The sequence below is a fragment of the Homo sapiens genome, chromosome 9, assembly GCF_000001405.40.
Source record: "Homo sapiens chromosome 9, GRCh38.p14 Primary Assembly".
Lineage (NCBI taxonomy): Eukaryota > Metazoa > Chordata > Mammalia > Primates > Hominidae > Homo > Homo sapiens.
Window position 1 is genome coordinate 2407155 of NC_000009.12, and position 23294 is coordinate 2430448.

The 23294-nt window shown below is 40.4% G+C and overlaps 2 long non-coding RNA genes across 9 annotated transcripts in view, besides 1 other annotated feature; one reads left to right on the forward strand and one right to left on the reverse strand.

Moving 5' to 3' along the window:
• Positions 1 to 23294, reverse strand: part of LOC101930053 (uncharacterized) — a 121382-nt gene that overhangs the window by 22000 nt on the left and 76088 nt on the right. For 5 of the 8 annotated variants that reach the window (XR_001746602.3, XR_929431.2, XR_428440.3 and 2 more), the window contains 2 exons: positions 18243 to 18386; positions 14426 to 17356 (listed from right to left, as the gene is read on the reverse strand). This is a non-coding gene — a long non-coding RNA (uncharacterized LOC101930053). Of the gene's footprint in view, positions 1 to 14425; positions 17357 to 18242; positions 18387 to 23294 lie in introns of those variants that run through there. The other 3 variants (XR_001746603.2, XR_929429.2, XR_929430.2) reach the window with 3 other exon arrangements.
• Positions 629 to 22780, forward strand: LOC105375956 (uncharacterized). The gene is made up of 3 exons (XR_929433.3): positions 629 to 723; positions 1666 to 1734; positions 22657 to 22780. It is a non-coding gene; the product is annotated as an uncharacterized LOC105375956 (long non-coding RNA).
• Positions 4295 to 4589: a silencer, noted in NCBI's record as "tiled region #8982; HepG2 Repressive non-DNase unmatched - State 24:Quies". NCBI's record gives its function as "represses a minimal TATA promoter and a strong SV40 promoter by Sharpr-MPRA in HepG2 cells {active_cell/tissue: HepG2}" and the evidence as "EXISTENCE:reporter gene assay evidence [ECO:0000049][PMID:27701403]".

Genomic DNA, 23294 nt, shown 5'->3' on the forward strand with positions numbered 1-23294 from the left:
GACACCCTGACTTTGGAAAGGAGCTACTCGTTGCGGTCTCCTCTGAACTATTCTATAACTCAATAAAGCTCCTCTTCATCTTGCTCACCCTCCACTTGTCTGAGTGCCTCATTCTTCCTGGTCACAGTACAAGAACTTGGGACCCGTTAAATAGCAGGACTAAAAGAGTTTTAATACAAACAGGGCTGAAACATACCCCTTCCTCACCATGTTGGGGGCAAAGAGAAGGAGAGAAGAGCTGCAGCCCTTTGGGGAGCCCAGACCTGGGAGCTCCCTGAGCCAGGGATGCGACTCTCTCTTTGTAGCCCTGCAGTTCCCAGCATCTCCAAGCTTCCAAGCACCACTGCATTCCCCAGTGCCAACTGGCGAAAATGCTTGCAATGCACCTGGTTCTGCTGCAGCCTCACAGAGATCCAGTGCCTGTGCCGGCACCTGGAACTGCCCACACATGGCAGCAGCCAGTGTTTCTAACCATGCGCAGTGGCTGGACCTCATGCTTGCTCACACACCCCTTGCCACTCTGCCACATGGTTCACCCGTGGTAGGCGTGGGATCCAGGCCAGTAGCGTAAGCTGAGTGCAGCCTGTTAAGCTGAGTGGGCAGAATGAGCCCAGCAGGCCCAAGCAAAGGTTGGGTAAAGGCATCACTGGCCACAGAGGTTTCCGGCCAGAAAAGTAACACCCAAAGATCCTGTTACAGTCATTTAGCTGTTATTTCTTGAAGGTAATTTTTTGATGTCTTTGAAATCATGGGATAACCATTATTTCCTTAAAAAATTTCAGATATTACTTTAATATTTGTTTAGTATTTATTTATTGAATTCTATTGTTGCTATGTCTAGTATATTGAAGTTTTAAGGTTCATTACTGCATTCTGTGCTTAGTTGTTCTTAAGATTGTTTATCTTTAAAATTATATTAAAACACAGCTTTAGCTATATCTCCTTAGTTTTTTTATTATTATTATTATTTTTTGAGATGGAGTCTTGCTCTGTTGCCCGGGCTGGAGTGCAATGGCGAGATCTCCACTCACTGCAAGCTCGCCTCCCAGGTTCATGCCATTCTCCTGCTTCAGCCTCCTGAGTAGCTGGGACTACAAGTGCCCGCCACCATGCCCAGCTAATTTTTTGTATTTTTAGTAAAGATGGGGTTTCACCGTGTTAGCCAGGATGGTCTCGATCTCCTGACCTCGTGATCCGCCTGCCTCGGCCTCCCAAAGTGCCTTAGTTTTGATATGTCCACTTTTCATTATTATCCAGTTAAAACATTTTCTAAAATTCATTGTTTTTTTTTATCCTGTGTGATATTTAGAAGCATATTGCTTAATATCAAAAGATTTAGGGACAATAAAGTTATCTTTCATGATTGATTTCTAGCCTAGTTTCACTGCGATAAGAAAACATTATTTAAATTGTTAAAATGTGTTCAGGCTCACTTCATGGAGAAGCATAAAGTTAAATTTGGTAAACAGTTCATACGTGTTTGAAAATCATATATTCTATGGTTGTTGGATACAGTATTTTATACATGCTCAAGTTTGTTAGACTTGTTGTTCATATGTTCACTAATCTAAACTAATTTATCTCTGCTTGTTCTATCAGCTATTGAGAAATGTCACGGACAGTTTCTATTCATGGCTATAACAATCCTCATCTCTTGGTACTCAGGTCCTTCTGTGATCATCTCCCCCTAACTGTGGATTCGACCAGTGACTTGTTTCTAAGGAATAGAATATGGTAAGTGATAGGATGTTACTTCCAAGATTAGGCTGCTAAAAGACTCATGCTTTTGCTGGGCTTTTGCTTGCTCATTTTGATGGACGTAGGCCCACCATATGGTGGGCTTCTTTTTGTGGGGGTTCTTATGGCAAAGAACTGAAAAAGGCTTTTGGTCAACAACCAGGGAAAAAATAAGATCCTAAGTCCAGCATTATTCAAGGAGCTTAATACTGCAATAACCACACTGGAAACAGATATTTCCCAAGCTGAGCCTTGAGATAAGATCGCCCTTGGAGAGACCTTAAGTCAGAGGATGCAACTAAGCTACTACAAGACTCATGATCTATTGAAACTGAATAATCAGTATTTATTGTTTTAAGCAGCTAAGTCTTGGGACAATTTGTTCTGCAGCAATAGATAATTAATACCAAAGAGATTCAATTATAGAGTTTTCTGTTTCTTCTTTTATTTCTTTTTTATAAATAACTTAATTGTGGTAAATATTCATAGGAGAAATTTCCCATCTTAACCATTTTTACTGTACAGTTCAGTGGTGTTAAGTACGTTCACACTGTTGTATAACCAATCTCAAGAACTCTTGTTATCTTGCAAAACTGAACTCTATACCCATTAAACAATAATTCTCTAGTACCTTTCCCCCCGGCCCCTGGTAACTTTTATCATGGAGATACAAAGAGATGTATTCACATATATACAAAGTAGCAATTCTACTTTGTATCCCTAAGAATTTGACTACAGTAGGTACCTCTTACAAGTTGAACCATACAATATTTATCTTTTTGTGACTGGCTTACTTTACTTAGCATAATGTCCTCAGGGTTCATCCATGCTGTAACATGTATCAGAGTTCTTTTCCTTTTTAAGACTGAATAATATTCCACTGTATATAAATATCACAATTTTATGGATATATACTTGTATACACCACATTCTTCTGTTGATATGCTCTTCGGTTTTTTTTCCACATTCTCATTTTTGTGAATAATGCTGAGATGAACATGGATGTAGAAATATCTTTTCAAGATCCTGCTTTCAATTCTTTTGGGTATATACTCAGAAGTATATTTAATTCTTGAGGAACCACTATACTGATTTCCACAGTGGCTGCACCATTTTACATTTTTACCAACAGTACACAAGGGGTCCAATTTCCCCACATCCTCACCAATGCTTGTTATTTTGTGGGGTTTTGTTTTATAGTAACAATACTAATGAGTGTGAGCTAAATTCTGTTACTTTTTTCTTTATATATTTTGAAAAAAAATTTTTGAGACTGACTTTCTCTCTTATTGCCCAGGCTGGAGTGCAATGGCATGATCTCGGCTCACTGCATCCCCTGCCTCCTGGGTTCAAGTGATTCTCCTGCCTCAGCCTCCCGAGTAGCTGGGATTACAGGCGTGCGCCAGCATGCCCAGCTAATTTTTGTATTTTTAGTAGAGACAGGGTTTCTCCATGTTGGTAGGCTGGTCTCGAACTCCTGACCTCAGGTGATCCACCCATGTCGGCCACCCAAAGTGCTGGGATTACAGGAGTGAGCCACCGTGCCTGGCCTTGAAATTCTTAATAAGAGCATACACATTTAAATTTTCATGAATGATTGACTCTTTCATAAACATAAAATATCCCTCTTTCTTTTTAATAATATTTGTTGCTTTAGAGTACACTTTGATAGCTGTCTGATAGTAATAATGCTATACTAGACTGCTTTTCATTGATATGTGCATGTATATATTTTTGTATTCTTTTACTTTCAAATTCCCTTTCCTTATGTTTAATGTACAGCAGATAATTAGGTTGAAATTTAAAAAAAAATAGAATCTGATAATCTTAAACTTTTATAGTTGAATTTATTTTTATTTTTATTGATATAGATGGGGTTTTGCTATGTTGCCCAGGCTAGTCTTGAACTCCTGGCCTCAAGTGATCCTTCCACCTCAGCCTCCCAAAGTGCTGGCATTACAGGTCTGAGCCAGCATACCCAGCCTCCATTAATATTTAATGCAATTATTGATATATTTTTATTTTAATCCACCATCTTCTCTGTTTCTCTCTGTCCATTTTATTTTAAATTTTGGTTTGTTTAATGTTATTATTTTCACAATTTCTACTTGATTCTTTTCCAAATCTGCTTTGTCTTTTTTTTTTTTTTTTTAAATAGCATCCTCTTCTTTCACTATGGGTTTTTTGCTTTAATTTTGTAATCATTTGAAACATATTTATTTATAATTTCTTGAAGCTTGCTATCTCAGTTTGGGGAAGTGGTTACTAATTCCCCATCACTCTGTCAATTCTTTTTTATGATAGATGAAGTTTTTCATTATATTATTGACTTTAATGCATTTACATTCATTTAAAATTCTTGTAGTCCTTACCTGCTATTATTTTAACACTAGAAAAGTTTATTATAAAAATTTCCTGAGAGCATTGTATTTTATGATTGCATATTCATAAAGTGCTCAGCTCAAGCAGAGTTCTATACAAGCTTCTCTGTTAAGGTATGAGAGTGTGACCAGGCTCTTTGTCTATCTTCCTTTGCAAAATATAATCTCATATTGATTATCACAGTCATTAAGTTTGTGCGGAATTATTTCATCTTCCTCTTCTGTGAAGCATATGGTAGGACTGTCATTCTCCTTTTTAAATTTAGGTGTGGCCACGTGGCTTGCTTTGGCCAATAAAATGTGAGTAGATGATATGCCTTTGCGGTGGAAGCTTTAAGAGCTAATGTGTGCTTCATCACATTCTTTCCATTCTCCCACAGAGACTGACAGCATTCCTGGTGGTGTTGCTTTTTTAAGCTTAGATCCCAGAAAGAGATTATGCAGAGTAGAGTTTCTAGTTGATTTATGGTTGAAATGGAGTCTGAGAAACAAATCTTTGTCATGTAAGATTGTTTTTTGGGGCTGCTCGTTATTGTAACATAATGTAGTCTTTTTTGATTGATACAAGGATCAGCGGCACAGCTTATTTCTTACTGTATTCCCACATGTTAGCACAAGGCCTGGTACAGAAAGTATTTGTGATTTGTTGAATCAAATTTTAGAATCAGAGTTCTTCAACGCCTGTGGTGACAATGCAAAGATGGGGGCTGATATTCTGTGCCATTTGGTCTTGAGTTCTCAATACATTCCATTCATTTTTCCAGCTGGAGGGACGAAGAATGACATTTGACTTAGTCGCAAATGGAAATCATTTTGTTTGGTACAAAGCCCATTGGAAAAAGGAAGACAAAGGGCATTTCTTTCAGTGGTAACCTGCTACTGCATTTCCTGTAAACACTAAATATTCTCCTCTGTTAGCCTATGAGAAATGGTGCTAGGTGGGAGAAGAGGCAAGGGTTTTCTTGTTTGTTTGTCTCTTAGCTCAAAAGAATCAGGGGAGAAATCTCTTCTAATTACAGAGTTATGTGCTTTGGAAGGACTTTTTTATTCATTAAGTCTGCCCACTGCCTATAAGTAATCTATCTTGGAAAAGATGTTTTATTCTTAGAAGTATGAAACCATTTTTGGTCTCTGAAGCAAGATGATTGGATCCACCAATAGAAAGTCATATTCTCTTGGTCAGATAAATATTTTATGCATTTTATTTTTCAAATAAGTAGAGCAGTCATGTTATTTACTATCTAAGCATAGAGACATTTGATCATGAAAGAGGGCACTGTTACCATTTATACTAGGACAACTAGCATAAAATGGTATTTTCCTGGGCAAACTATATGAACACCTTACAAATAAGGCCACTTATGAATGTAACTTTCATAACATGTAATCAAGTCATTAAGTCCCTTATTCTGAGAAGAGCCAGCTGACCAGGAGACCAAAAGGCCAAGAGAAAGAATGTCATCCTCAATTAAGCATTTCAGTGAGTAAATCATGATTCCATTAGTTGATTGTTACTAAACTTTCTTAAGACATGCCCTTAGTGAAACCTTTTACACCAGCGTACAAATGCATGGACTATTTGCCTGAACTAGAAGGTCCTTCCCCGTCAGCAACCCCTGACTATAAGACCCAGACTAAATGTTATTTCCTCTGAAATGGCTTCTTCACCATTCCTGGATGTGGCTCGTCTGTGATAACTAGGTTTCCCCAGCACAGTGTAAACACTTCTACAGTAGTACTTTTCACATTATATTATAATTCTTCATTTATGTCTGTCTTCCCTCATGCGCTGTTCAAGGGTAAAAACTGTGTCTTATTTATTTTTGTGTCTTTCTAAGAAAAGCTTTTTTTACTCAGTGTAATTGTTCAATACATTACTGAAAGAATGAATGCAGAGAACTACTTATTTAGAAAAAGAAGTTTATGCTAACAAGGCCTTCCCAGCTTGAGCTTGAGATAGAAGGAATAAAAAGAATGAACTGATTTACCAGCTGTTTCCTGATTCATAAGGAAAGAAATATGGAGTAATTCTGAGGTGGGAGGCAGGGGAGAAACAAAGCATAGTTCATTTTAATTACATTTGGCTGTGGTACCGTTTCAGGATAGAACTCACAAAGCTGTAACTGCTAGGAGCTGTGTATGTATTGCTTAAGGGAAAACAAGATGATGTACTAATCTTTAAGATATTTTAAAAAGACTCTTTTGTGGTACATTGTCTAGAAGTGAATGTAGGTTATATCCCCTCCAGTGGTAACTACAGAAATTAGAGATGCTGAGAAATCATGTGGTCAACCCTCCCAGCATCGTACGCACAACGTCACCTGAGCCATGTTTATGTAGCTCCTGTGACTTCCCAGGAGTGTGCAGAGCTCCTAGCAGAGCAAAGAAGGCTGCTTTGGAAATCTAAAGCAGACACTTGGCTCCTACTGCTAGATGGCCTTGGTGAGGCATTGGGAATTGACAGATGTTAAATTGGCAGCACAATTCTCCAACCTGGGAGTTAAGGCTAAAGCCTGAAGTATTGAGAAGCCATATATATTTATGTAGAGAGGAGGGACCTCTCTTGAGCCAAAAGGAAGTGGGTGGGTAGGGGTTCTGTTTACTTTATTAAGCTGTTTTGCAGGATTTGGGGAACCAATTTCATTGAAGCATGTGTCAGGACAGGGCAGTCATTCTCAGAGTCAAGTAGTACTGTCAATAAATAATCGCATGGGGCCTGAGACTGGTGGGATTACTTTAGGTTCTAATTCTGGACTGACACATGAATAGTTAGAAGCATGAAATACCCATGTTTCTCCCCAGGACTAGAGTTTTCATAGCTCTAGGATATAAGGAGGAGTTCTGGTGACTACAGGAGGCGGTGACAGAAAGAGATACATAGAAACAGCAACATACATTTCTCCCTACACTGAGTCTGTCTCAGCCTCTACCATTCTTTCACTCTATTCCTTCAAAAGTATGTTCTAAGCCCATAGTACTGTGCTTAGCAGTGCAACATTAATGGTAAAGAAAGCATTGGCTCTCAAGATCTCCTGGCCTAGTGGGGAAGGCAGCCACATAAACAGATCACCATCATTCACCATGATATGTAGGCTATTGGAAATGTGTATAGGAGGTTATGAAAATATAATGGAAGGAGTTGCTGATTCTGTGTGGTTATAATCAGGAAGAACTAGAGTTTAGGGAAGGCATCACATATGGCTCCCCATTATAAAACCCAACCCTCTTGGCGTGGTATTCTGGCCCTTCAATGTGTGTCCCTGCCAGTTGAAATCTCACCACCCACCATGCCTGACACCAACTCTGCTCCATCCAGAGTCTGCCTGAATCTCAGCTTTGTCCTCTTTGTTCCCTGGCTGGAATGTTGCATTTTTCTCTACTGACCTAATCTTATCTGTTAAAAGTCAGCTCAAGTCCTACCTCCTCCGTAAGTCCTCTTCTGAGTATTCTAGCCCATAGTGAATTGCCCATTCTTGACTCATTGTTTGGAATTCTACCTTGACACTAGATTTTATCTTGCATTGTGACATCTCTTATATTGCTATATAGTGCTTCTAGTATTGATTTAATACACACATGTTTCTCTTCTCCCAAACTAAACTTAAAGACATTCAATGGCAGAATGCATTATCTAATATTCCGTATATACCAGTGATCCCCAAACTTTTTGGCATCAGAGACTGGTTTCGTGGAAGACAATTTTTCCATGGACCAGTGAGGTGGGATGGGATGGCTTCGGGATGAAACTGTTCCACCTCAGATCATCAGGTATTAGATTCTCATAAGAAGCACGCAGCCTGGATTCCCTGCCTGGGCAGTTTACAATAGGATTCCCACTCCTATGAGAATCTAATGCAGTGGCTGATCTTACAGGAGGCAGAGCTCAGGTGGTAATGCTTGCTGGCTCCCTGCTCACCTCCTGATCTGTGGCGTGGCTCCTAACAGGCCACCAACAGGTACCTGTCTGTGGCCCAGGGGTTGGGGACTCCTGATATAGGCCTTAGTAGAGTGTAGGGCACAGTACTCAGTAGATACCTGTTGAGTAAATGAACATAAGAATTTTGTTACTTGGGAGAGATTCAGGATAAAATTGTCTCTCTCTCTCTTTTTTTTTTTTTTGCATCCAGATTCAATATGGAGTGTGAAACCTCTTCCTGTGGCTACGAATTTGGGTAACATTAATTTTTCTTTAAGACTATCCATGCATTCCTCCATCTACCAAATATTTACCTAAGAGTTTACTATTAACCACTACTTGGTGCCGAGAAACAGGTGAATTTGCCAAGAGGTGGAGTTCTCTGGAAGTAATTTTTCCCCAAACTTCTTTTTTTTCTTTTGTTTTGAGGCAGTGTCACCCTTTTGCCCAGGCTAGAACGCAGTGGCGTGATGGGAATGCAACCTCTGCCTCCTGGGTTCAAGCGATTCTCCTGCCTCAGCCTCCCGCATAGCTGGAGATTACAGGCATGCACCACCATGCCCTGTTAATTTTTGTATTTTTAGTAGAGATGGGGTTTCACCATGCTGCCCAGGCTGGTCTTGAACTCTCAGCCTCAAGTAGTCTGCCTGCCTCGGCCTCCCAAAGTGCTGGAATTACAGACGTGAGCCACTACGCCTGGACTGCCCTCAAAATTCTGAAGGCATTGCCCAATTATTTCTATTAGTTTGGCGCAAAAGTCACTGTGGCTTTTACCACTAAAAGTAATGGTAAAAGCCACAGTGACTTTTGTACCAACCTAATAACTTTCACTGTGACCGAAGTCAAATGCTATTTCTGGTTCTTGATATTTTATGTGAGTCCTCTTTTCTTCCTAATTGATCCTCAAAGTTTTGGGGATCCTCTATGTGTCGCTGGTATCAATGACTCTCTACCTTGGTGGTTTTTTTGTTGTTGTTTTCATTACGGTAAAATACAGATGAAATAATTTACCATCTTAACCAGTTTTAAGTGTACAGTTCAGTGGCATTAAGTACATTCACACAGGTATGCTGTTAATTTTAAATTCACAGTTTTAAGCACTTAGTGGGACCTTTCAAACTGGAGATGTATATTCTTATTTAATAATTTCATCCTCTATTTTCTCTCTTTTCTCTTTCTGGAATTTCTATTAAACAGATGTTTGATCTTCTGCACTACACATCTAACTTTATGTCCTTCCTATCATCTCTCTAATCATTTGTTCTACTTTCTGGGGTTTCTTTAACGTTTTCTTTCAGTTATTTACTGAGTGTTTTATTTCTATATTTTACTTCTCTGTTTTTCTTGCTTTGAATGTATTTTAAAAATAGCATCCCATTATTGTTTCATTGATGTAAAATGTTATATTATTCTCCAAGAACAGTAATCACATTTTTTGAAATTTTCTTATAGGCCCTTTCTTTCTTCCAAGTACCTTTTGCCTTTTTTTTGTTTGTTTAGTTTGGGGTCTCTCATTTTAGAAAAGTTTTCCTTAACTATTAGCCATCCCTGGCTATCTCTTTTTGGCTAAGAATCTGTCACTACGAAGCTGAATGGATGATCTATGTACATTGGACAGGGATGGTTTGATTAGTTAGAAACCAATAATTTTCTTGGCGAATTGCTTGCAAATATCCGTGGGTTTTCTGTTAAGTCAGGATGTCAGCCATCTGAAAACCCAGCGGCATAGGAACAGAAGTGGGGATCTCACCGTTTACAAGGTAGGCTTTTATTTAATTACTGTGTTTTTTAGCACAGCATTCCACTATCTCCTTTGCCTCATGTGCTTAACTCTGGGAGCTCTCAGGTTCATATTCCCAGTAAACCTCTCACCTCCTCTAAGCATGATGTAGGGAAGGCATCAGGCACCACCCTCTTCTTATATAGATTTTCGACTAATCATTCCCCACCTCAATGTCTTCTAAGGATCCCAGTGCCCCTCATTTCTGAGACTTTCCATATTTTTGCAGCTTAATCAGCTTCTCTCCTCTTCAATCTTTCTCCCCTATGCTAAGTAGGTTGCCATGTGTGTATTACTTTGTATCTCCAAATTTTTTTGAAATCTATCATCTACTTTCATGTTCTATTCCCATTTCCTTCATAATTTATGTTTTTTATTATCTATTATTTTGGAGATTTTCTGGATGGAGTTGACATTCACCTGTGTCTTTATCTGCTGTATTTAACTGGCAGTCCTTTTCCTTATATTGGCCTTTAGCTTTCCCCTACAGACTCTCCTGAAAGTTCCCCTCACCCTTGTCTTCCACCCTACAGCCAATGCTATGGTATAAGGTTACCATATTTAGCAAATAAAAAAACAGTTATTTCAAACTTCAGATAAACAAAGACTACATGCAACATACTTAATCTACAAAAAACATTATTCATTGTTTTTCTGAAATTCAAGTTTAACTGGTCATCCTATTATCTTATTTCAACTTGTCTTTGTTCAAGCTGTTTTAACACCATACAGGCTGGGCAGCTTATAAACAATAAAATTAAGTTCTCCCAGTTCTTAAGGCTGCAAGTCCAGGATCAGGGTGCCAGCATAGTCAAGTTCAGGGGAGGTCCCTCTTCTGGGTTGCAAATAGTCAGCTTCTCATTGTAACTTCATGTGGTAGAAAGACAGCGAGAGAGCTCTCTAAGGTCCCTTCTATAAAGGCACTGATCCCATTCATGAGAACCACACCCTCATGACGTAATTACTTCCCAAAGATCTCACCGCCTAATGTCATCACCTTGGGCATAAAGATTTCAATATATAAATTTTGGGGGAACACAAACATTCAGTTTATAATATAACTCTTGTTGGAGAGGAACTTCTCACCCTAGCTTTGGCTTCATAGTACCATAATTCATACGTCTATCACACATAATTCTTATGTCTAACCACATAGCCAGCACCTGAGTAGCCCTTCTCTGTTCTCTTACCACCACAAGAAAATAGTACTAGACATTACCTGTGGTTCAAGAGCTTCTACACTCTACCAAAACAAGATGGGTAAAATGTCTGCTCTTCACATTTTGCTTATGCTAAGCTAAAGGCTGTGAACTGCATCATTAAAGCTTTGGAGCATTCTCAAATATTTTCAACAGTAAACTGACTGTTTACTGATCAGATTTGGATTTTTAAAAAGTCATGCTGTGGCGTAAAGGGTGACAAGCCTAGGAGCTGAGAGACCTTTGGATGACTACTGTAGACAGTAATTCAAGCAAGAAAAGATAGCATCCTAAACCAGGGAAGAACAAGTGAGAAGGGAGAAGAGAAAATGCAAGGAATATTAAAGAGGTATAAACCACCACCAGATTCAGAAATTGAATTACTGTGTTGAAGGGAAAGGAGGTATTGAGTAAGTGCTGAGTTTCTGGCTTAGGCAAATGATGGTAGGTAGAGCCTTTCACAAAAAAAAAAAAAAAAAAAAGAAATTCAGGACGAGAACAGATTTAGGGGAGGAGATTACCATTGTTTCTCTCCTAAATGGTTCTCATTTACACAGCAGGAGGGTGATGTTCTTCCAGGAATTATGAATGTCTTTGGCCTTGTTCCAAACTCCCAGCAAGAAGAAACCACAAAGATACATCCAGCTTACTGAAGTCTTTTTCAAATGGTTGCTCCTATTCTGACCCTGAGCTCAGCTGCTGGAGGAAGACCTTGCATTTCCCACATGCAAGCAAGGGAGGGGCCTTCTCACATGACGGTCCTGTCTTTTCAACCAGGGGGTGACAGCTATTGGCAACTGTCAGCTCAGCAACACTGGAAATAGGCTGTCCTCATTTTGCTCTGGTGCATGGTGACCAGCAGGAATGGCAGGGGCTGTTTTGTGCTCAACCTGAGTTGAAGTAACCCATCCTGGACTGAGATCTGATAGCACCAAATGGGATTGACTCTCTGGAGGGACCATTTTCTTACCAATTGAGGAGTTTGCCCCTTTGCTTTCTCTCTTAACTTTCAGATGACATCATTTGCATCAACTTCTCTTACTGCACTGTCTTCCACTTAGAATAATTGTCAGGAATAGTTCATCAGCTGTAAGCAGCACATCTCGCTTCCTGGGGAGCTGGAAATAATGTAAACTCCTCTGTTTTTAAATTTTTTTGACCACGCCAAATCTCATTATTGAATCAATTGAGTTGATTGAGAGTTTAACATTAACTTTAGTGCTAATTCTTTGCCCTGTTAATACTCAAGTCAATACAGGCACCTGCTATCTCTGTTAAGCTAATGAGGCAGGAAAAAGGATGGGAAAGATGGCAGGTGAGGTCAGTTCTTCATCCCCTGAGTCTCTGTGTTGTCCAGGCAACTTTCCTGCGACTGTAAATGGCAGTGTTTTGCTTTCCAGTGTTTCTTTCCTTTGTACTGTGTTAGCAGACTGCCATTCCTTTGGGAATGGCCCCTCTACTTTGTCTTTCAAAGAGTGTGCAGGATGAACTCGAGCAAACAGTCTTATGGCAATTGCAGACATAGCTACTCCATCAATTTCTATTGTTTTTGATTCAATCTGTTTTTGAAAAAGTGTGGAGTTGGAAACACAACTTGGTGTGTTGCACAAAGCAACAAACGGTTTTAGTGCCTGGGAAAAGGGAAGGCACAGGTTTCAAGGCACATTTAAAGAACTTGGGGGGTGGCGGAAGGAGTAGGCCATTCTGAAGCCCATACCTCTAGCTGAAAAATTCTAATCTAATGAGTCTATAAAGAAGCAAAAAAAGAGTTTGTAAAAATTGTAGCACTATGAATTCAAACAAACATTATTATGCCTAAGTTTGCCTTATCAGGGGAATTGTTAAACTCAAGTCAAAGGACAGGGAAATAATATATAATCAACCAAATAGATTTTTTAAAGTGGATAGCTTAGAATACAGGATATCAGTGGAAGCAGAGACATTGCACCTTACTTATAGGAATACAGGAGAAGAATAACATTCATGCACCAATGTGGGCTTGTTGCTAGTATGTTTTTTAAACAGCCCAACTTTCATGAAGTATTTAGGGAACATAACGAATTAAGTTTAGCAGTCAAATTCTTTCTCTCCGTGTGTGTGTGTGTGTGTGTGTGTGTGTGTGTGTGTGTGTGGCGGGGTGGGGAGCAGAATTATTCATTCTCTGAGCCTCAGTGTAGTCCTCTGAAAAGTGGGTGTGATTCAAAGAGAAAAAGCCGTGAAGTACTGAGCATAGTGCCTGGCACTTCCTAGCCACTGCATTGGTATTAATTTAGGAAACTTGCCTACAAAGACCACGTCCTTTCTACTTCTTCAGTTCACCAGCTGAAGCACATCACACACCATTCCAGCTTCCTTTGTTTCCTTCTGGGTGGTGTTTCCTAGATCTTTGCCTCCCTTGTTTTTTGTTGCGGGCCACGTACAAAGCCGCCTGGCTCTGGATGGTGGAGACTTGGTTATTTTCCAGGCTGCTTTGAGGATTCCCCAGGAGGACTATGTCAGAGGTGCTAATGAGTCTCTGTTTAACCATGACTGTGCACTCCCCTGGCAATTGGGACAGAGAGAAACACCTTGCACAACAATTAGCTTTTCACAGCCATTAGCAATTTGCAGTCATTAGCACCATAGAAACACTGCAAATAACACCCAGGAAGCAAACACCACTGTAAGGTGCCACAGGGCTCCTAAGCTGCATCAGCCCTCAGCAAGGCAGGAGTCTGAGAGCCCTAAGGTCCCCTGTGCCCACTTACTCCAGCAAATGGGTTTTGTGATTCAAAGCGCCTCTGTTCCTTCCCGTCCTATCTTTGAAAATGGCTCTATCAAGCCCATTATTTGTTTCAGTGGGACATAAACCTTTCAGAAGAAAAGTCCAGAAGATGTAGTGCATAATAAAGCGATTGTGAATTCCCTCAAGACCAAGAATCCTAAAGGAGTCTGGAAGGAGTGGTGTGAATAACTGAAATTTGAGCGGAGTGAAACTCCAATGCAATGCAATGATTTAGCTCCAAAGCTGTTCATGGCAGCATTGCTAAATACCAGAACCATCTATATCTCTAACGGTAGGGATTGGTTAAATAATTGTGCTATACCCATTGAACTGAACATAATGCAGCCTTTAAAAACAATATTCTGGAATTTACAGGCAGATTATATCAAAAGGTTATAAAACTTTATTAACATTATTTCTTTTTTATTGTAAAATATGATATGCACCTTCTAAAATAGTAGTGATGATTGTCTCTGTGTGCTGGGAATGGAAATGGATAATTTTTAATTTTTAAATTTTGCTGTTCTGTGTTATTCTTCTAAAACAAGTACAGATGTATGTGTAATCCTTTTAATTAGAGAGAGGGATAAAGACAGCAGAGTGAGAAGGTAAGCCCTGTCTGGTGTAGTGAGTTTAACATACCTAAAATAATTTTAAGTAAATATTTTATTGAAGCATAACATATATACAGAAAAAAGACACCAATAATAAGGACAGTTTGATGATTTTTCATAAACTGCATAAATCCAGATACAGAACGAATCTTAAATACCATGATGGTTATGCTTGTGGCTCCACAAATGTCTGCATGGTGAACAATTACAGTAGGAAGTCAGCTGCGTGTTGAGGAGTCAGTGATGCAAGTTCATCAATTGAAAGCCCATTATGGTAATTGCATTAGTCTGTTTTCACACTGCTACAAAGAAATACCCAAGACTGGGTAATTTATAAAAGAAAGAGGTTTAATTGACTCACAGTTCTTCATGGCTGAGGAGGCCTCAGGAGACTTGCAATCATGAGAGGAGGAGAAGCAGGCACATCTTACATGATGGCAGGAGACAGAAGAGAGAGCGTGTGAAGGAGAAACTGTCAAACACTTATAAAACCGTCAGCTCTCGTGAGAACTTACTCACTATCACGAGAACAGCATGGGAAAAGCCGCCCCCAGGATCCAATTACCTCCCACCAGGACCCTCAACAGGTGGGGACTATAGGGATTAATTTTCGAGATGGGATTTGGGTAGGGACACAGAGCCAAACAATATCAGTAATGCTGGAACGAAAGGTGGTAAATCTCCATTTTACAGGTGCAGAAACTGAGTCCCTGGGAGTAAGAGTAACTTGAATCCCATAACTGCTAAATGGAGGAGCTGAGATTTATTCCCAGTCAGGCTCTGGAATCAACGCATTCCCAAGAAGAAAAAATACAGCTGGGGCAACTAGAGAAGGCCAGGGCATCTCTAAAAGCTTGATGACCAGAGAGTAGGAGATAGGGAAGAGCTGTGTCAGGGAGGGCTGGAAGGCTTGTCTGTTAGGAAGGAAGGGCAGAAAATCAGTTCCTGGCAATTTCTACAAAAATCAGACCAGTGGGGGAAACTAATAATGCTAAGTCTGGTGCCTTTGTGCACTTATATTTCATGTGGACCTGAAAGGTGGCCTTGAGGCTGATGGAGCAGAGATGCAGAGCACAAGAGCTCTGACCTCCTTCAGAAGTCATGGTTATCTAAGAAGAATGGGGTCTAAATTATTTTTATTTTATTTTATTTTTTTGAGACAGAGTCTTGCTCTGTCACCCAGGCTGGAGTGCAATGGCACAATCTCAGCTCACTGCAACCCTTGCTCCCAGGCTCAAGCAGTTCTTGTGCCTCAGCCTCCCGAGTAGCTGGGACTAGAGATGTGTGCAACCACATCTGGCTAATTTTTATATTTTAGTAGAGACGGGGTTTTGCCATGTTGGCCAGGCTGGTCTCAAACTGCTGACCTCAAGTGATCCGCCCACTTCGGATTCCCATAGTGCGGGATGACAGGCGTGAGCCACCGTGCCCAGCCAGAAAGGGGGTTAATTTATGTTTTCTTTATATTTACTAATACATAGGGGAGGAAGGTAATACTCATAATCCTCCCACGTAGAAAAGTGGCCCCCCAAATCTTCACTGAATGATCCAACTTCTTTTCCTTTGAAATAGGTGTTCTGGGGGAACCATGCAGAGGGCACACTCTGGGCAAGGGGTGCCTCCGGAGAACACAGGATACGTGTTAAGGACCTTAGGTGATGAGAGCAGAAAGTCACCTTCCAAAATGAACTCAGCCGGGGAGGGACCAAACTTGGAAAGTTTTCATGGAAACCGTTTCATCAAAGATATATATCTAGGAATTTTGTTATCTTAATTAACTCAGAGGTAGCACCATACTATGCTAAGAAGACTGAGTGTAAGACTTGTAATTACCTCTCTTTAGGCCGTTAACCCTATTTGGTTACTGTAAGCTTTTCAAGGATTGAGGCCGTGTGGTTGGTCATCTCTATATGCCCAATGCATAATAATGTGCCTGGTAGATAACAGACATTAAACAAACGCTTACTGAATGCATAAAACATGGGTCCTAGATATTCTAGGCTAATACCACTTTAAATAGTCCACTGCTTATGTACACTGGTTTGAGTTCAGAAACATTGATCATCAGAGAGTTAGGTCTGAATGTGACTGATGGAATTTCCGGGAATTTCCAAGAGATACTTCTCAGCAGTAGCCACTATACCAGCCATTTTTCGTATTTCTCAATCATTCATTCATTTTAGTAAAGGTAGAATCAGACAGAAATGAAGACTACTCCAGAAGTGAAGGAAGCGAGAAATTTATAGAACCTGAAATTGGTTCCTGGTCTTCATATTTCAGCAACTTCAGAATTTTTTTTAAATCCTCTAAGACCTTTTTAAACAGTCATTTATTGAAGTCTTACTAAGTAGCAGCCTTATACTCAGTGCTAAGAATACAAAAATCAGTAAGACAGAACACACAGATCTGAAAATAGATAAATTACAATCCAAGTTGGATAGTGTTTGTATTATGTAGGATGTCTTCAGTTGCAAGTAACAGAAAAGAAATAATGGCTAAAAAAAAGAAATGTTTAATCATCTCACAAATCATGAAAGACTAAAAGTAGATGGTTCCACATTGGTCCAGCAGTTCAATGATATCATAAAAAAAATCCAATACTCTGTCTTTTCACTATTCTATCCTTTGTCCTTGGCTTATTGCCTCATGGTCACAGAATCGTTGCTGTAGCTCCAAGTAACATGTTTGCACACAATTGCATTTAAGTCAGGCAGGAAGGAACTTACTGTTTCTCTTTATAGCAGGAAACAAAAATCTTCTGAGATAAGCTGACCAATAGACTTTTTCTTTCGTCTCATTGGTTAGAACTGGGTCACTTGCCCATTCCCAAATCAATCATGAGAAAAGGGGAATGGGATTGCCATGGTTGGCATAAGCCAATGATGCTTTATTCTCTCAGGCTGGAGGAAGGGGCTGCATCTTCCTTGAGCATGTTGCTACCACCTAAAAAACTGGATCCTATAACCTAAAGAAGGTGAAAAGAAGAGCAGAGGAGAAGTTAACCAACGTGTTTGCCACAGGGTTAAGCACAGAGTTGAGTGAATCAGTGTACCTTATTTTTTCTAATTTGATGCCAAATCTTCAGCTCCACCTCCCTTCCCTAGCATAAGGCCAACAGCCCAAGGCTACAAGAAAACCTGGCCTTTCCCTGACACTGCCTTGGCCTTGATTGCCTCAGTGCGGAGAGTAAAACAAGCTGTCAGACTCAGCTCCTGCCCTATCCTTGAGCTCTAATAACCTCAAGCTTTTACAATTCCAACCAAGTTTAAAATTCTAGCTTGTTGATGTGAGTGGGAGTTTGGAATGCTGGAGGGGAAGGGTGAAAGTCAGGTCAACAAATGAGATTTGAAGTGGTTTTCCTTCCTCAAACGCAAGCCTCACATCAGGACTCTGAACTCAAATGGCCTCTCCTGAATGAGAGGGAGGGGGACACATGTAGGGAAGGCCAGGAGAGCCCAGCCATGGGTGTAGCTGAATGTTGTTTCAGAGAAAAAACAAGATTTCTCTCCCTGAAGACCACTGGGTACTACTTTCAGAATTTACATAAGAGAGAAATAAGGTGCGATCTCAATCTGGGGAAGAAAGTTAAGGAGGTGATTGGAGGAGGACTCTGTGGAGGATGTGGCTTTGTTCAACACATCCGTAGACACTGGTTTTACAAGGCCACGATCGATATGCTACTGATATATAATAGATGATATGATTGATATGATACAATATGATTTAATGTAATACAGTAGTATAGCAATTCAATATAATGATACCAGTAACTAAAATTCATTGATCATTCACTGTGTGATTAACACAATGCAATGAATTATCCTTACAGGACTACTCATAATCATACTTACAGGCAAGTTTCATTATAATCCACAGGCTGAGCAAAGTCACTCTGTTAAACGGTGGACTCAGGACTCAGGACTGCAGGGCTCTCTGCCTCTAGAACCCTCCTCTTCACCATTTTGCTATTTTGCTTCCATTTGTCTCTTTCCTACCTGGGTGTTAATGCATATAGTAGTGAAAAGGCCAAGTGGTGACTACAGACAAAGACACTAAGCAAGGTTAAGTGAAAAACAGCTCATTGGGATAAATATTTCACTGGCTAGAAAAAACGAAAGAAATAACACCAAAAAGTTATTTTAAATGTTCAGAGAACAAAAGAGTTAAAAGTTTCTTGTTTTAAAGAGTTCAAGAAAGTAAAAAACATAAGAGGAAATACAGTTTTGATAGGAATTATATAAACAGATGAACTTCTTTCTCCATCATAGAATGCATGAACATTTATGTGTGTATTATGGAGATTTTGCAATGCCCTTGTGGTTTTTTTGGCAGTCATTCTCTAGCCTATATAGTTCACTCTTTTTCTAACTAACTCAAACACTCACTTTATTCTTTCATTCATTCATTTACCTAGTCATCCGTCAGATGTTTATTCAGTCTCTTCCACGCACTGGGTACCAAGGAGGATAATGGAAGCTTAAGAATAAAGAGACACTGTCTCCTGCCTTAAATGGGATGGAATTTAGTATGCTCAAAAGGCAATTTTCCCCTTCAGATCCCCCTCAGACTCACTCCATTGCCTGTGAATGGTCCTGTGCAATAGAGAGAACTCCTTTAGCCCTCTGGCATGTGGTATCGCCGTACTGCAGGGAGTTGCCTATCTCTGATTTAGGACTGGAAGTGGAGGTTCAGAAGATGAGAAAATGTGGAGAACAGAGGACAGTAGATATGTTCCCTGTCTGTCTGATTGAAGCGAATTCTGGTTCAGGAACCCCCTGGGAAGTTCTATGACTTCAATATCCTATGGGATTTTGAAAACATCAAAGCTTCCTGGAATTGATCAACCCATCTTGGTTCCTTAAGATTTCCCTTCCACCTACTGGGAGGCACTAAGCTAAGGGTAGGGTAGGTACATGGGGCAATGTTTATTTCCGGCCCCACTCTAGAGCTAACCTCTGCTACTGGATGCCTGAAACCACATGCCTGATTGTAGCCTTTGGCTTGACTCAAGAATCCTAATGAACCTCTCCAGCACATTTCTCTGTGTACTGGAGAACCAGTGATGAACACTATTCTTGAAACATCGCTAGAATTGTCCATACTTCTTTTCTGTATGACACCTCTTTTCATTTGGTTGTTTTCTTTTAAATTTTATTTTGCTAAAATTCATAGTGAGGTAGGTTTACATTCTCACAAAATATAATACAGGCAATCAAGAGATAGTCTAGGAGCCTCTCTTAAGGCTCCTATTACACACAGCCCCCAAGTACTGGGACCCCTTCAGACCATCTCATTTTTAGGAGGTGTTCCCAATCACTAACAATGGCCTGTGTCAAAATGCCTCCCCATAGTGATAGCCAACGTCCTGAGCAGGTGTCTATGTCTCAGGCAGCTGGTCTCTGTAAGGGGTATCCAATTATGATGAGGCTCCAGGAAGACGTATATGGGTGTAATGAGAAGGATGACGGAATGGGACCCAGGAGACACCCCACAACCACTATCACCAAAGCCTGGACATTTGTTCCTGCCCATTTCTATGCCCATATTTCCTCCTTTGCAAAATAAATAGTTCAGACTAGAAGAGGCCTCAGGTGCTATCGAGCTTAGACGATTTATGACCTTCTGAGTACTGTAAGTGTTACCTGCTTTGGCAGTTTGCACTAAGAATCGGACTTTAGAGATTTGGCACACTCTGATGTTTGTTCAGTTGGTAAGTGTGCTCAGTTTTTGTGGCATGTGTCTACAAAGCACAAAAGCCTTGGTTTCTCTGGACTTCTGAAGTGCAAGAGATTGATAGCAATCCCAGCCCATTCCCAGGGAGAGACGCAGAAACAACTCTGTGAAAGGTTACTTTGGTCTCTATGGGAACCACTCTGTGCCCTTGACAGAGAAGACAGCTTGGGGAAGGGAGGCACATCCGAGAGCTCTGAAGCCTGGGCAGAATGCCCCATGGGCCCACAATGCCACATACCTGTGAATGGAGAGAAGGGAACAGGCAGTCCCAGTGTGCATATTTGGAATCCAAAGTCCTATTTGACCTTAGATATTTGGAAGTAGGTGGGACCTGGAAATGCTAACACCCAGAGGCCGTGCAGTGTAGTGGAAAGAGAACTGGCTTTGGAATCAGAGGTTCTGGTTTGACTCTCAGCTCTGCCCTTACTAGCTACGTGACTTGGAGAAGGTCTCCTAACCCTGCTGAGTGTGGGTTTTCTTGTCTGTCCAGTGAGAAGCATTAGGTCTTTCCTGATGATCTCATAGGGCTGATGTTTCTGGTTACTTTTCCTGCACACAGTGTACAACCCCCGCCCCCCGTGATGCGTCAGTCACAGTCTAACAACAATATTAAGGAAGGATAATGATAAAGTTAATTTTTGTGGAGAATATAACATTGATGATATTGCTACCCACTGTTGCATTCTTAATATGTACTAGGCACTCTGATAAGGACTTCAGAAACATTAATTCATCACCTGAGATCACATGGTTGGTAAATCACATGGCAGAACTAAACTCAGACGCTCTGACTCCAGAGCCAAGGTCTTAACCCAGTGCGTGGTTCATCCCTCCTAAGCCAACAACCAGATTTCTTCCAGTCCTGGCTTGTAGAGAGTGAGAAAGATGTGCTGGCTTGTCTACTCACATATTAACAAACAAACAAACAAACAAATAATTAAGCAAATCAGTCAAATCCTTTAAAAGAGTCAAACACAGCAACTTTGGAAAATCATATGTTAAAAGATATTTATGGATCAGATTAAATAAATAAATAAATGTATGAAAAAAATGTGATTCTATTTTCACTAATGGTTAACCAACATTGCTTATTGCCTATGTATGACCTTTTCTTTGGCTTGTATCAAACAGGTATTTGTCCCACCCATCCACCCAGCTAAAAAACAAGCAAAAAAAAGTACTGAACATCTTCTCTGTACCAAATATCCATGAAGTGCTCAGATTTAATGGTGATTGAGGTGTTTCTGCCCTCAAGCATCAGTCTAACCAAAGATACAGACAGAAAATTCAGTAGAGTATGACAGTGCTTTGATAGGGAAATGAACAGGGTACTAAGGACAGACAGAAAATAAGAAGTTAATTCAGTCTGAATATGTCAGAGAAAACTTCCCAGAAAAGGTGACAGCTAGGTTGAGTGGGAGTCAAACTGTTGGTAGGAAGGCACATGGAGAGGAGAGAAGGGGAAGGACATTTGGGAAGTGGGAGTGTCTTATGTGATGGACAAGAGGCAAGAGAAGTGTGACCCACTCAGAGAGCCAAAAGAAGTTCACAGTGGCTGAAACACAGAGTCTAAGGACTGGAGAGGTGACAGCTGAAACACAGGCCATATCATGCAGGGCCACATAGAGTTTTGAATTTTATTGTAATCACACTGAGAATTAATTGAAGGGTTCAAGCCAGGGCCTAAGGAGTGGGTCATAATCCCATTTGTGTGTTAGGAAGATGATTCCGGCTGCAGCATGGAGAATGGATCTGTGAGGGGAAAAAGGGGTGACTAACAGAACATAGGACTAGTTACAGAGTATTGAAATAATCCAGCCAACAGATGAAGATGACCACCCAGGTACTGCCAGTGAGAATGGAGAGAAGTAGATACCACCTGAACACTTAGCAGAACGAGGCACGTTTAGCAATTGAATGAAGGCAGGGTGAAGGAGGGCATGGTGTGAAGGATGCTGTGTCTGCTGGTCCCCTCAGTCCCCGAGCAAAAGGACTGATTTTTTTTTGGTTCCAGGTTCTTTTCTGGTTCAGATGACATGGCTGTGTGTCCCCTAACTTTTGACCCATCAATCCATACTTTTTGACATCTCTCATCTGTTCTTTTGCCCCGTATTTCCTTCCACCTCCCAGTACATTAACTAGGGCAATGTGAACTGCTGTATCAAAGCCAAAACTCAGTTGTTGACACAATAGAAGCACATTTCTTGCTCATGTAAGAGTCTTCTCTGGTCAATCAGAGGCTTTCTTCCATATGTGGGTTTACATAGGAGGCTTCCTTCTGTTGCATGGTTTGCCATTCCCTAGGACCTGAGTTCTCAGCATTTAGATGGTAGAGGGGCAAGAAGGTGGAGAAAGTATCTTTATTACTTAAAACCCCACCTACACCTCCATTAATAAGAACTTACCACATGAGGGAGGGAGCAGGAAGTTTTGCTTGACAGCAAGCCACCTCTGTCACATCCAGCCTGCCTATGTCTTAACTCCTTTTTTTTCTCTTGTCTTTATTTATCTCCTTCTCCTACTATCTGACAGTTGATCACTGGAATGGTTGTAAACATCTTCATTCATCTGGTTTTGATATAGAAGGAGGATGACACTTCTCAAATGCATCAACAACGGAGAAAGAATAATTCACAAACTACTTATCACAAGGTAAACCCACGATCATTTTTCTTCTACTGAGCAAAGAACACCTAAGAGACAGGAGACCTGGCTTCAAATTCTGGCTCCATCAATAACTTACAGCATGACTTAAGCAAGACACTTCACTTCTATGGACCCCAATTTTCCCATCAGTAACATGGATGGAGTGTGCTACACCAATATTTCTCCAAGTGTGTTCCAAAGAACATTAGGTTCATGAGGTGCTCTTTGAAAAACTCTTCTATGGTCAAATAGATTTGGGAAATACTGTGAACTTTAACCACTGCTTTGAGGACAGCTGAGGCTCATAACAATAAGAGAGGCTCTGATAACTCCTATGCTAAGGAAATCTGCTAGACTTTAACCTGACATTTCCTAATCTTGAGAGGTGAAATTTATATATTCAAGTATTAATCTGTTATTAAACTGTTTTACCACTCATGAATTGGTCAATGGTACAGAGAAGCTCAGATTCCAGTGAGAAAAATGAATTATCTCAGTAACTAAGACTCAGAGTAAGGGAAAAA